Raw genomic sequence first — 13,509 nt, 5'->3', positions numbered from 1 at the left:
CTGGTGTGCTGCACCCATTAACTCGTCATTTAGCATTAGGTATACCTCCTAAAGCTATCCCTCCCCCCTCCCCCCACCCCACAAAAGTCCCCAGAGTGTGATGTTCCCCTTCCTGTGTCCATGTGTTCTCATTGTTCAATTCCCACCTATGAGTGAGAATATGCGGTGTTTGGTTTTTTATTCTTGCGATAGAATGATGATTTCCAATTTCATCCATGTTCCTACAAAGGACATGAACTCATCCTTTTTTATGGCTGCATAGTATTCCATGGTATATATATGCCACATTTTCTTAATCCAGTCTATCATTGTTGGACATTTGGGTTGGTTCCAAGTCTTTGCTATTGTGAATAGTGCTGCAATAAACATACGTGTGCATGTGTCTTTATAGCAGCATGATTTATAGTCCTTTGGGCATATACCCAGTAATGGGATGGCTGGGTCAAATCGTATTTCTAGTTCTAGATCCCTGAGCAATCGCCACACTGACTTCCACAAGGGCTGAACTAGTTTACAGTCCCACCAACAGTGTAAAAGTGTTTCTATTTCTTCACATCCTCTCCAGCACCTGTTGTTTCCTGACTTTTTAATCATTGCCATTCTAACTGGTGTGAGACGGTATCTCATTGTGGTTTTGATTTGCATTTCTCTGATGGCCAGTGATGATGAGCATTTTTTCATGTGTTTTTTGGCTGCATAAATGTCTTCTTTTGAGAAGTATCTGTTCATGTCCTTCGCCCACTTTTTGATGGGGTTGTTTGTTTTTTTCTTGCAGATTTGTTTGAGTTCATTGTAGATTCTGGATATTAGCCCTTTGTCAGATGAGTAGGTTGCAAAAATTTTCTCCCATTTTGTAGGTTGCCTGTTCACTCTGATGGTAGTTTCTTTTGCTGTGTAGAAGCTCTTTAGTTTAATTAGATCCCATTTGTCAATTTTGTCTTTTGTTGCCACTGCTTTTGGTGTTTTAGATATGAAGTCCTTGCCCATGCCTATGTCCTGAATGGTAATGCCTAGGTTTTCTTCTAGGGTTTTTATGGTTTTAGGTCTACCGTTTAAGTCTTTAATCCATCTTGAATTAATTTTTGTATAAGGTGTAAGGAAGCGATCCAGTTTCAGCTTTCTACATATGGCTAGCCAGTTTTCCCAGCACCATTTATTAAATAGGGAATCCTTTCCCCACTGCTTGTTTTTCTCAGGTTTGTCAAAGATCAGATAGTTGTAGATATGAGGCATTATTTCTGAGGGCTCTGTACTGTTCCATTGATCTATATCTCTGTTTTGGTACCAGTACCATGCTGTTGTGGTTACTGTAGCCTTGTAGTATAGTTTGAAGTCAGGTAGGGTGATGCCTCCAGCTTTGTTCTTTTGGCTTAGGATTGACTTGGCGATGCGGCCTCTTTTTTGGTTCCATTTGAACTTTAAAGTAGTTTTTTCCAATTCTGTGAAGAAAGTCATTGGTAGCTTTATGGGGATGGCATTGAATCTATAAATTACCTTGGGCAGTATGGCCATTTTCATGATATTGATTTTTCCTACCCATGAGCATGGAATGTTCTTCCATTTGTTTGTATCCTCTTTTATTTCATTGAGCAGTGGTTTGTAGTTCTCCTTGAAGAGGTCCTTCACATCCCTTGTAAGTTGGATTCCTAGGTATTTTATTCTCTTTGAAGCAATTGTGAATGGGAGTTCACTCATGATTTGGCTCTCTGTTTGTCTGTTATTGGTATATAAGAATGCTTGTGATTTTTGTACATTGATTTTGTATCCTGAGACTTTGCTGAAGTTGCTTATCAGCTTAAGGAGATTTTAGGCTGAGACAATGGGGTTTTCTAGATATACAATTATGTCATCTGCAAACAGGGACAATTTGACTTCCTCTTTTCCTAATTGAATACCCTTTATTTCCTTCTCCTGCCTAATTGCCCTGGCCAGAACTTCCAACACTATGTTGAATAGGAGCGGTGAGAGACGGCATCCCTGTCTTGTGCCAGTTTTCAAAGGGAATGCTTCCAGTTTTTGCCCATTCAGTATGATATTGGCTGTGGGTTTGTCATAGATAGCTCTTATTTTGAGATACGTCCCATCAATACCTAATTTATTGAGAGTTTTTAGCATGAAGGGTTGTTGAATTTTGTCAAAGGCTTTTTCTGCATCTATTGAGATAATCATGTGGTTTTTGTCTTTGGCTCTGTTTATATGCTGGATTACATTTATTGATTTGCATATATTGAACCAGCCTTGCATCCCAGGGATGAAGCCCACTTGATCATGGTGGATAAGCTTTTTGATGTGCTGCTGGATTCGGTTTGCCAGTATTTTATTGAGGATTTTTGCATCAATGTTCATCAAGGATATTGGTCTAAAATTCTCTTTTTTGGTTGTGTCTCTGCCAGGTTTTGGTATCAGGATGATGCTGGCCTCATAAAATGAGTTAGGGAGGATTCCCTCTTTTTCTGTTGATTGGAATAGTTTCAGAAGGAATGGTACCAGTTTCTCCTTGTACCTCTGGTAGAATTCAGCTGTGAATCCATCTGGTCCTGGACTCTTTTTGGTTGGTAAGCTATTGATTATTGCCACCATTTCAGATTCTGTTATTGTTCTATTCAGAGAGTCAACTTCTTCCTGGTTTAGTCTTGGGAGGGTGTATGTGTCAAGGAATTTATCCATTTCTTCTAGATTTTCTAGTTTATTTGCATAGAGGTGTTTGTAGTATTCTCTGACGGTAGTTTGTAATTCTGTGGGATCGGTGGTGATATCTCCTTTATCATTTTTTATTGCGTCTATTTGATTCTTCTCTCTTTTATTCTTTATTAGTCTTGCTAGTGGTCTATCAATTTTGTTGATCCTTTCAAAAAACCAGCTCCTGGATTCATTAATTTTTTGAAGGGTTTTTTGTGTCTCTATTTCCTTCAGTTCTGCTCTGATTTTAGTTATTTCTTGCCTTCTGCTAGCTTTTGAATGTGTTTGCTCTTGCTTTTCTAGTTCTTTTAATTGTGATGTTAGGGTGTCAATTTTGGATCTTTCCTGCTTTCTCTTGTGGGCATTTAGTGCTATAAATTTCCCTCTATGCACTGCTTTGAATGTGTCCCAGAGATTCTGGTATGTTGTGTCTTTGTTCTCGTTGGTTTCAAAGAACATCTTTATTTCTGCCTTCATTTCATTATGTACCCAGCAGTCATTCAGGAGGAGGTTGATCAGTTTCCATGCAGTTGAGCGGTTTTGAGTGAGTTTCTTAATCCTGAGTTGTAGTTTGATTGCACTGTGGTCTGAGAGACAGTTTGTTATAATTTCTGTTCTTTTACATTTGCTGAGGAGAGCTTTACTTCCAAGTATGTGGTCAATTTTGGAATAGGTGTGGTGTGGTGCTGAAAAAAATGTATATTCTGTTGATTTGGGGTCGAGAGTTCTGTAGATGTCTGTTAGGTCCTCTTGGTGCAGAGCTGAGTTCAATTCCTGGGTATCCTTGTTAACTTTCTGTCTCATTGATCTGTCTAATGTTGACAGTGGGGTGTTAAAGTCTCCCATTATTATTGTGTGGGAGTCTAAGTCTCTTTGTAGGTCACTCAGGACTTGCTTTATGAATCTGGGTGCTCCTGTATTGGGCGCATATATATTTAGGATAGTTAGCTCTTCTTGTTGAATTGATCCCTTTACCATTATGTAATGGCCTTCTTTGTCTCTTTTGATCTTTGTTGGTTTAAAGTCTGTTTTATCAGAGACTAGGATTGCAACCCCTGCCTTTTTTTTGTTTTCCATTTGCTTGGTAGATCTTCCTCCATCCTTTTATTTTGAGCCTATGTGTGTCTCTGCACGTGAGATGGGTTTCCTGAATACAGCACACTGATGGGTCTTGACTCTTTATCCAATTTGCCAGTCTGTGTCTTTTAACTGGAGCATTTAGTGCATTTACATTTAAAGTCAATATTGTTATGTGTGAATTTGATCCTGTCATTATGATGTTAGCTGGTTATTTTGCTCGTTAGTTGATGCAGTTTCTTCCTAGCCTCGATGGTCTTTACAATTTGGCATGATTTTGCAGTGGCCGGTACCAGTTGTTCCTTTCCATGTTTAGTGCTTCCTTCAGGAGCTCTTTTAGGGCAGGCCTGGTGGTGACAAAATCTCTCAGCATTTGCTTGTCTGTGAAGTATTTTATTTCTCCTTCACTTATGAAGCTTAGTTTGGCTGGATATGAAATTCTGGGTTGAAAATTCTTCTCTTTAAGAATGTTGAATATTGGCCCCCAGTCTCTTCTGGCTTGTAGGGTTTCTGCCGAGAGATCCACTGTTAGTCTGATGGGCTTCCCTTTGTGGGTAACCCGAACTTTGTCTCTGGCTGCCCTTAACATTTTTTCCTTCATTTCAACTTTGGTGAATCTGACAATTATGTGTCTTGGAGTTGCTCTTCTCGAGGAGTATCTTTGTGGCGTTCTCTGTATTTCCTGAATCTGAATGTTGGCCTGCCTTGCTAGATTGGGGAAGTTCTCCTGGATAATATTCTGCAGAGTGTTTTCCAACTTGGTTCCATTCTCCCCATCACTTTCAGGTACACCAATCAGACGTAGATTTGGTCTTTCCACATAGTCCCATATTTCTTGGAGGCTTTGTTTGTTTCTTTTTATTCTTTTTTCTCTAAACTTCCCTTCTTGCTTCATTTCATTCATTTCATCTTCCATCACTGATACCCTTTCTTCCAGTTGATTGCATCGGCTCCTGAAGCTTCTGCATTCTTCACGTAGTTCTCGAGCCTTGGCTTTCCACTCCAGCAGCTCCTTTAAGCACTTCTCTGTATTGGTTATTCTAGTTATACATTCATCTAAATTTTTTTCAAAGTTTTCAACTTCTTTGCCTTTGGTTTGAATTTCCTCCTGTAGCTCGGAGTAGTTTGATCGTCTGAAGCCTTCTTCTCTCATCTCGTCAAAGTCATTCTCCGTCCAGCTGTGTTCCGTTGCTGGTGAGGAGCTGCGTTCCTTTGGAGGAGGAGAGGCACTCTGCTTTTTAGAGTTTCCAGTTTTTCTGCTCTGTTTTTTCCCCGTCTTTGTGGTTTTATCTACTTTTGGTCTTTGATGATGGTGATGTACAGATGGGTTTTTGGTGTGGATGTCCTTTCTGTTTGTTAGTTTTCCTTCTAACAGACAGGACCCTCAGCTGCAGGTCTGTTGGAGTTTGCTAGAGGTCCACTCCAGACCCTGTTTGCCTGGGTACCAGCAGCGGTGGCTGCAGAACAGCAGATTTTCGTGAACCGCGAATGCTGCTGTCTGATCGTTCCTCTGGAATTTTGTCTCAGAGGAGTACCCTGCTGTGTGAGGTGTCAGTCTGCCCCTACTGGGGGGTGCCTCCCAGTTAGGCTGCTCGGGGGTCAGGGGTCAGGGACCCACTTGAGGAGGCAGTCTGCCCATTCTCAGATCTCCAGCTGCATGCTGGGAGAACCACTGCTCTCTTCAAAGCTGTCAGACATGGACATTTAAGTCTGCAGAGGTTACTGCTGTCTTTTTTTTCGTCTGTGCCCTGCCCCCAGAGGTGGAGCCTACAGAGGCAGGCAGGCCTCCTTGAGCTGTGGTGGGCTCCACCCAGTTCGAGCTTCCCGGCTGCTTTCTTTACCTAAGCAAGCCTGGGCAATGGCGGGCTCCCCTCCCCCAGCCTCCCTGCCATCTTGCAGTTTGATCTCAGACTGCTGTGCTAGCAATCAGCGAGACTCCGTGGGCGTAGGACCCTCCGAGCCATGTGCGGGATATAATCTCCTGGTGCGCCTTTTTTTAAGCCTGTTGGGAAAGCGCAGTATTGGGGTGGGAGTGACCCGATTTTCCAGGTGCTGTCTGTCACCCCTTTCTTTGACTAGGAAAGGGAACTCCCTGACCCCTTGCGCTTCCCGAGTGAGGCAATGCCTCTCCCTGCTTCGGCTCAGGCATGGTGCGCTGCACCCACTGTCCTGTGCCCACTGTCTGGCACTCCCTAGTGAGATGAACCCGGTACCTCAGATGGAAATGCAGAAATCACCCGTCTTCTGCATCGCTCACGCTGGGAGCTGTAGACTGGACCTGTTCCTATTCGGCCATCTTGGCTCCCACCTCTCTCTCTCTTTTTTTTTTTTTTTGAGACATTGTCTTGCTCTGTCACCCAGGCTGGAGTACAGTGGCAGCATCACAGCTAACTGCAACCTCTGCCTCCAAGGCCCAAGCAATCCTCCCACCTCAGCCTCCCAAGTAGCTGGAACTACAGGTGCATGCCACTGTGCCTGGCTAATTTTTGTATTTGCTGAAGAGACGGGGTTTCACCATGTTACCTAGGCTGGTCTTGAACTCCTGAGCTCAAGCAATCCGCCAGCCTTGGCCTCCCAAAGTGCTAGGATTATAGGTGTGAGCCACTGCCTGGCTGTAGAGCCATACTTTCTAAACAACTCCTTCGTTCTTCATAATCCAAACCCAAAGGACAGTCTCTGAGAAGGGTTCAGTATCCTATTTTAGACAGAAAAACACATATTTTTCTCTTGTGTGGCTGGTTAAAGAGTGCCCTCATCTAGTATATGTCACAGCGCCATTATCCCTCCATGTAAAAAGATTTGAACCCCACATTTATGGTGGATTATATTTCTTTCTGTCCAAAATTAAAGTTACCTTCAAAACATAATCATTTTGATATTTTTCACTGTAGCCATCTTTGGAATTCCTGTTTGTGATGGTAAAATAGGTCCACAAATTCTTTGATACTCTTCCCCTCAAGAAGTGAGGCTTAATTCCTCTCCCCATGAGTGTGGGCTGAGCTTGGTAACTCAATTCTAACAAACAGAATGGTGGAAATTAGAAATATTGTGGAAATGGCAGTGTATCACTTTTAAGACTAAGCCATAAAAGGTCTTGTAGCATCCCCCTCTTTCTGTCTTTTGGCTCGCCACTTTGGAGGAAGCCAGTTGACATGTTATGAGGATACCCAAGCAGCTACATGGAGAGGTCCATGTGGCAAGAAACTAGGCCTCCTGACAATGGCCATGTGTGTAAGCCACTTTGGAAGCAGATTCTCCAGCTCCAGTTAAAGCCTTCAGATAAGTCTATCCCTGGCCAACACTGGACTGTAACCTCAAGAAAAGACCTTGAGGCAGAACTACCTGCTAGATTACTCCTGGATTCCTGAACCACGAAAACACCTTTGTGTTAATAAATGTTTACTATTTAAGTTTAAATTACCCCTATGTTTTTGGGAATGATTTGTTACACAGCAATAAAAAATGAATACACTGCTGTATAATGAAGGAAATCTGGTTAACAAATTCATTAGTAATAAAAAATAGTCATATTCACGTTCAGATTGGCTAGATAATGCATCTTTCTGGTACATCTTTTTCTTTCTTGGGAAGCTTGAAGCAACATCAAGAGAAAATTTATCTCAACTGGTATTCTCTGAAGTTGTATCCATCACATATTATAGTATTTATTTTGATATTTGATTCCTATTTTGTAGACCATACGCTATGATTCTACAGACCAAAGGAGAAAACTAAAGTGTGTTTAATTACTTAATAAAAGTTGTCTGAATCCTTTTTAAAGTAGGCAAAAGTCTAAATTACAAGTTTTAAAAACCATTGAACAGGAACATAACACTATTATAATAGTAGTTAAGTCTATCTCTTTAGGGCCATTCTCTAAACTTGTAGTCTATTTCTCCCTTAGTTTTCAATGTCCTATGATGTTAGGGAATCAATGTTGTAGAAAGAATTCAGACAGACCCACATTCAATTTCCAATCCTGCCTCTTGCTGATTATGCGAGCTTTGGCAAGTTACTGAACCCTCTTTTGATTTTACTTTCCTCACATGGAAAATGGAGCCAATAATCACTAAGTACGTCTGGAAGTGATTTTGAAGATTAAATGAGTTTAATAAATATAAAGTACCTAATGCAGTCCCTGGAGCACAAGGTCAGTTTATTATAATGTCAATCCTGCTTTTACCTCCAACTATTAAAATAATGTATACTTCAAAATACTCACAAAAAAGTTAAGAGGGAGACCATGATAATATAAGATGTACCATTAGAGAAGTCACTTTAGAGTTACATATACCTTATTTTGTCAAAGATGCTCAACATCAGGGCAAAATACCCTTCTGCTGACCCTTAATTCTCCAAAACCTCCAACAGTAAAAAACTGTAAATGTGCAAAATCCAAATCACAATGTTGTCAAAAATTTAAGCAGAGGCAGAGCTCATCTCTCAGCCACCTCTCTATTGACCACAAAAGAAGCAAGTGTATTGACAGCCCCACCCTTACTAACTGGCCCAGCTGAGGCTTCATGGCACCTTTCTGCATTATTCATACCAAACGAACACAGGTAACTATTTTACTAGTGCAATAGATCTTTAAACTGTAAAACTGTTCAAGGAGTTTGTCTTTTGACAAAAATGTAATAATTTTAACAAAACAAAAGTTAACATTATTTGGAAATGATTTTAAGGTAAGCAAAACCTCAACTTACTCTTCAGCAGGCAGGCCAATTAGCAACAACTTGTCAGATTCTTTCCAATAAGCCACATGAATTTGTTTTCCATTTAAAAGGAGGGATGAACTAAGAAACAATATATTCAAAATAAGGTTAGAATACCTTTAAATGTCATAAAATTATAAGTATAATTCATAAAAGATTGCATATGGTATGATTTAAGAACTACATACTTAATAAGTGATTTCTTTTCATATTCCTGTCACATAAAAAACGCAAGGAATTATATGACAGCAAAAATATACTCCAACATATTAAAAAAAAAAAACAAAAAAACAGAAAACTCTAGGCCAGGCTGGGTGTGGTGGCTCACACCTATGATCCTAGCACTTTGGGAGACCAAGGCAGATGGATCTCTTGAGGTCAGGAGTTTGAGAACAGCCTGGCCAACTTGGCAAAACTCTGTCTCTACTAAAATTACAAAAGATAGCCTGGTGGGGTGGTGCATGCCTGTGATCCTGGCTACTAGGGAGGCTGAGGTATGAGAAGTGCTTGAACCCAGGAGGCGGAGGTTGCAGTGAGCCAAGATTGTGCCACTGCACTCCAGCCTAGGTGACACAGTGAGACTCTATCTCAAAAAAAGAAAAAAGAAAACTCTAGGCCAAACAAAAATAGACCTATTATAGAAAAAAAAAAAAAGTTGAAATTCTCTTGCTAACATTAAGTGACTAAATATAATTTTTTTTTCCAAAAGAAAGCTTCAAAACTGGGTGCAGTGGATCATACCTATAATCCCAGCACTTAAGGGAAGCTAAAGTGGGAAGATCACTTGAGCCCAGGAGTTTGAGACCAGCCTGGGGAACAAAGTAAGACCGCATCTCTTAAAAAAAAAAAAAAAAAATTAGCTGGGTGTAGTGGAGTGGTCCTGTAGTCCCTAGCTACTTGGGGTGGGGAGTGAGATGGGAAGATCACTTGAGGCTGGGAGGTCAAGGCTGCGGTTAGCCATGATTGCACCATGCACTCCAGCATGGGTGACAAAGCGAGGCCCTGTCTCAAAAACAAAACAAAAAAAAGCTTCATCTCAGTTGGTTAATTTAACAAATATTTTGTGACTGCCTATTTATGAAGATGATTTGCTAAAGAAAGGAAGATGTAGTCCCAGCTGAGATGACAATCAGTATGGGACACAAATATATAAACAAGTAACCAAAATGTAAGTCAGATTTAAATGTGTTCTCAAGGAAACTTTTGGGGTGATGAATGTATTCACTGTGTCGATAGTTTCAGGGTATACACCTATGTGGAAACTATTCAAATTGTACATTTTACATATGTTCAGTTTACTTCATTATACTTCAGTGAAGTTTTAAAAATTTAATTATGTTCTAAAAAGAGAAACAATAATGAACTATGATAATAAAGAGAACTTAAGTGTGTGGAATTTAAAATATAAATTATAAAATAAATTTTTTCACACAGAACATTGCTTTTGTCTTAATACTTTTAGAAATGCATACACTTTCAGACAAATATTAGCCTCTTATAGTATACTAATATTACTATAGTTTAAAAAGTGTGTATGCAACAAAAGATACACACATTGCTAAGGAACCCCTAAAATAATTTTCATATTTATTACCTTCTTAAAAAAGTTTTTCTAGCTGTATTTACTGCTTTCCACAATTAACCCATATCTCATGGTTAATAACAAAATCTAAATATTAGGTAAAATAACATCTATTCTTTACAGTAGAAAAAATAAAGGCAAAAAAAAAAAAAAAAGCAACACCGCACAGAGAAACTTAAATTTTCTTTCTAATGAGACTGAAAAGGAGGAATGCACCTCCTTATGCTAAATGAAAGAAGCCAGTCACAAATAGCCACACATTATATGATTCCATTCATATGTAATATCCAGAACAGGGATATCTATAGGAATGGAAAGTAGATTAGCAGTTGCCCAGGGGTTGGGCTGGCTGAGCTAAAGGGTATAGGATTTCTTTCTGAGGTGAGAAAAATGTTTTAAAATTGAGTTTGATGAGGGTTGCGCATATCTGTGAATACACCAAAAAGCATTTACTTGTACACTTTAAAATTTATTATTTGTATATATTTAGGGAGTACAAGTACAGTTTTAATAGATGGATGTTGCATGGTGGTGAAGTCTGGGCTTTTAGTGTAACCATCACCTAAGGAGTGTACATTGTATCCATTAAGTAGTTTTTCATTTCTGACTCCCCTCCCGCCCTTCAAAAGCTCCAATGTCTGTTATTTTACACTCTATGTCCATGTGTATACATTATTTAGCCCCCATTTATAAGTGAGAATATGTGATATTTGACTTTCTGTTTGAGTTGTTTCACTTAAGATAATGGCCTCCAGTTCTATCTACGTTGCTGCAAATGACATGATTTCATTCTCTGTTATTTATTCCATTTATTTATTTAATTTACTCCATTTATTTATTTGTTCTTTTTTATTCCATAGTATATACATACACCACATTTTCTTTATCCAGTCATCTGTTGATGGATGCTTAGATTGATTCCATTATCTTTGCTATTGTGAATAGCACTCATAAATATATGAGTGCAGGTACCTTTTTGATATAATGATTTCTTTTCCTTTGGTTATATACCAAGTCATGGGGTTACTGGATCAAATTGTAGTTCTATTTTTAGTTTTTTGAGAAATCTCCATACTGTTTTCTGTAGAGGTTGTACTCATTTACAATTCCACCAGCACTGTATAAGCATTCCCTTTTCTCTGCATCCTCACCAGCATCTGTTATTTTTTGACCTTTTAATAATAGCCATTCTGACTGGTGTAAGATGTTATCTCATTGTGCTTTTAATTTGCATTTCTCTGATGATTAGTGATGAGCATTTTTTCATATGCACGTTATCCATTTGTATGTCTTCTTTTAAAAAATGTCTGTTCATGTCCTTTGCCCACTTTTTAATGGGGTTATTTGTTGTTTTCTTGTTGAGTTGTCTGAGTTCCTTATATAGATTCTGGATATTAGTCAGTTGGTGGATGTGCAATTTGCAAATATTTTCTCTCATTCCGCAGGCTATCTATTGACTCTGGACTATTTCTTTTGCTGTGTAGAAACTTTTCAGTTTAATTAAGACCTACTTATCTATTTTTTGGTTTTGTTGCATTTGCTTTTGAGGTCTTACTAATGAATTATTTGCCTAGGTCAAAGTCCAGAAGAGTGTTTCCTAGGTTTTCTTCTAGCATTTTTATAGTGTCAGGCATTACACTTAAGTCTTTAATCTAACTTGAGTTCATTTTTGTATATGGTGAGAGAGATGGGTTCAGTTTCATTCTTTTGCATATGGCTATCCAACTTTCCCAGCACCATTTATTGAATAGGGTGTGCTTTCCCCAGTGTATATTTTTGTCAACTTTGTCAAAGGTCAATTGGCTATAGGCATGTGGCTTTATTTCTGTGTTCTCTGTTCTGTTCCATTGATCTATGTCTATTTTTATACCAGTACCATGCTGTTTTGGGTTACTATAGAAAGCCTTGTAGCATAATTTGAAGTCAGGTGATGTGATGCCTCCAAGTTTTGTTCTTTTTGCTTAGGACTGCTTTGGCTATTCAGGCTCTTTTTTGGTTCCATACCAATTTTAGGATTACACATGCACTTCAAATGGGTGAATTGTATCACTTATGTACTATATCTCAATAAAGATTTTTAAAAAATAAAAAGAGGCCTGCAATATGCTTTTATGAACCCAAATTTATAAACTAAATAGAGCCTCCAGTACTACTGTATTGAAAATAAACTAACAGTTTGTATATACACTATATTAAAGTCACATAGTTAAACATGACTTTTAATTAGTTAAAACATAAAATTCTTCTGTCTATTGCCTTGTAGATTCTACCTCTTTTAAAATCATAGAAATGTCATTTCTACCTGAATATGGGGGAAAAAAAGTTAAAGCCTAGAAAATCCAACTTGATATTTTTTCAGTATTACGGAGGCTGTTGAAATTTGAGATAAAATTTCCTTGTAAAGTCTAAAATTGTTGAAATAATAAGGAAGAAAAATTGTTTATAATTCTTAGATTTATTTTATGAAAAAAAACACAAAACCTAAAAGCTTTGAGCCTTTTCCTCCCATAAATTAACTATGGCATTTCAATGTCAGGGCTTAATAAATCAATGGAATGGGTATTTGACTCTATAATTGACTATATTAAGAGTTCTAAATATAAAATTATTTGACATCAATGTTGCTCATCCATCATTAACTACACTGATGACGAATGCATCTGTCCTATTTGTCTATTTTTGGTTTTGCTGCATTTGCTTTTGAGGTCTTAGTCATGAATTATTTGCCTAGGCCAATGTCCAGAAGCATTTTTCCTAGGTTTTCCTCTAGCATTTCTATAGTGTCAAGTCTTCCTTTTAAGCCTTTAACCTAAATCAAGTTAGATTAAAGGGACAAATGGGAGCTAAATAATGTGTACACATGGACATAGAATGTGGAATAACAGACATTGGAGATTTTGAAGGGTGGGAGGGCAGGAAAATTCACAGATTATGAATAGCCCTCCTAAAGAACATTTTGTATTTTTCTATCATTGTTGTAAGAACAGAATATGTCCTAACTATATGACCAATTTTCGTGTTCAGTCATTCTTGCCAATTCTGTTTGCCACAAAGGTATTGCCTAGGAAGTTAACAATCAAGATAGAAACATGAAAAAGCTGAGATTCATAATAATGCCATGCTTAAAAGATACATCTTCATGAAGAAATAATAAATATAGGCCCGAGTGTTTTTTAAAATGTGCCAAAACACCCAGATCTACAGCTGTGTTGAGAATCTACACTTCAAATAGATGACTGGTAGAAATAACTTAGATGAAGCAAAAATCTGCAGACATTCTGCAGAGCTCGTTATCTATAATGTATAGATATATACGTGTATATACATACATTATAGACTATAATGTATATAATACATACATTGTAGATACAAGTATATTTGTATACCAGATACTTGTTTTAGCATTTTGTCAGGGTGAAATAAAAGAACTTGAAAAAAACAGAATTAAAGCTAAAT

The 13,509-nt window shown here is 38.3% G+C and overlaps 1 protein-coding gene across 1 annotated transcript in view; it reads right to left on the bottom strand.

Annotated features, from left to right (window-relative positions):
• INTU (inturned planar cell polarity protein) overlaps positions 1 to 13,509 on the bottom strand; it is a 93,781-nt gene that overhangs the window by 44,062 nt on the left and 36,210 nt on the right. The window contains exon 6 of the mRNA NM_015693.4: positions 8,463 to 8,552. Coding sequence (NP_056508.2) covers positions 8,463 to 8,552 — 90 coding nt within the window. The remainder of the gene's footprint in view (positions 1 to 8,462; positions 8,553 to 13,509) is intronic.

Source organism: Homo sapiens, chromosome 4, assembly GCF_000001405.40.
Source record: "Homo sapiens chromosome 4, GRCh38.p14 Primary Assembly".
NCBI lineage: Eukaryota > Metazoa > Chordata > Mammalia > Primates > Hominidae > Homo > Homo sapiens.
The sequence above is the reverse complement of the archived record's forward strand: the minus strand, read 5'-3'. Positions and strand labels throughout refer to the sequence as shown.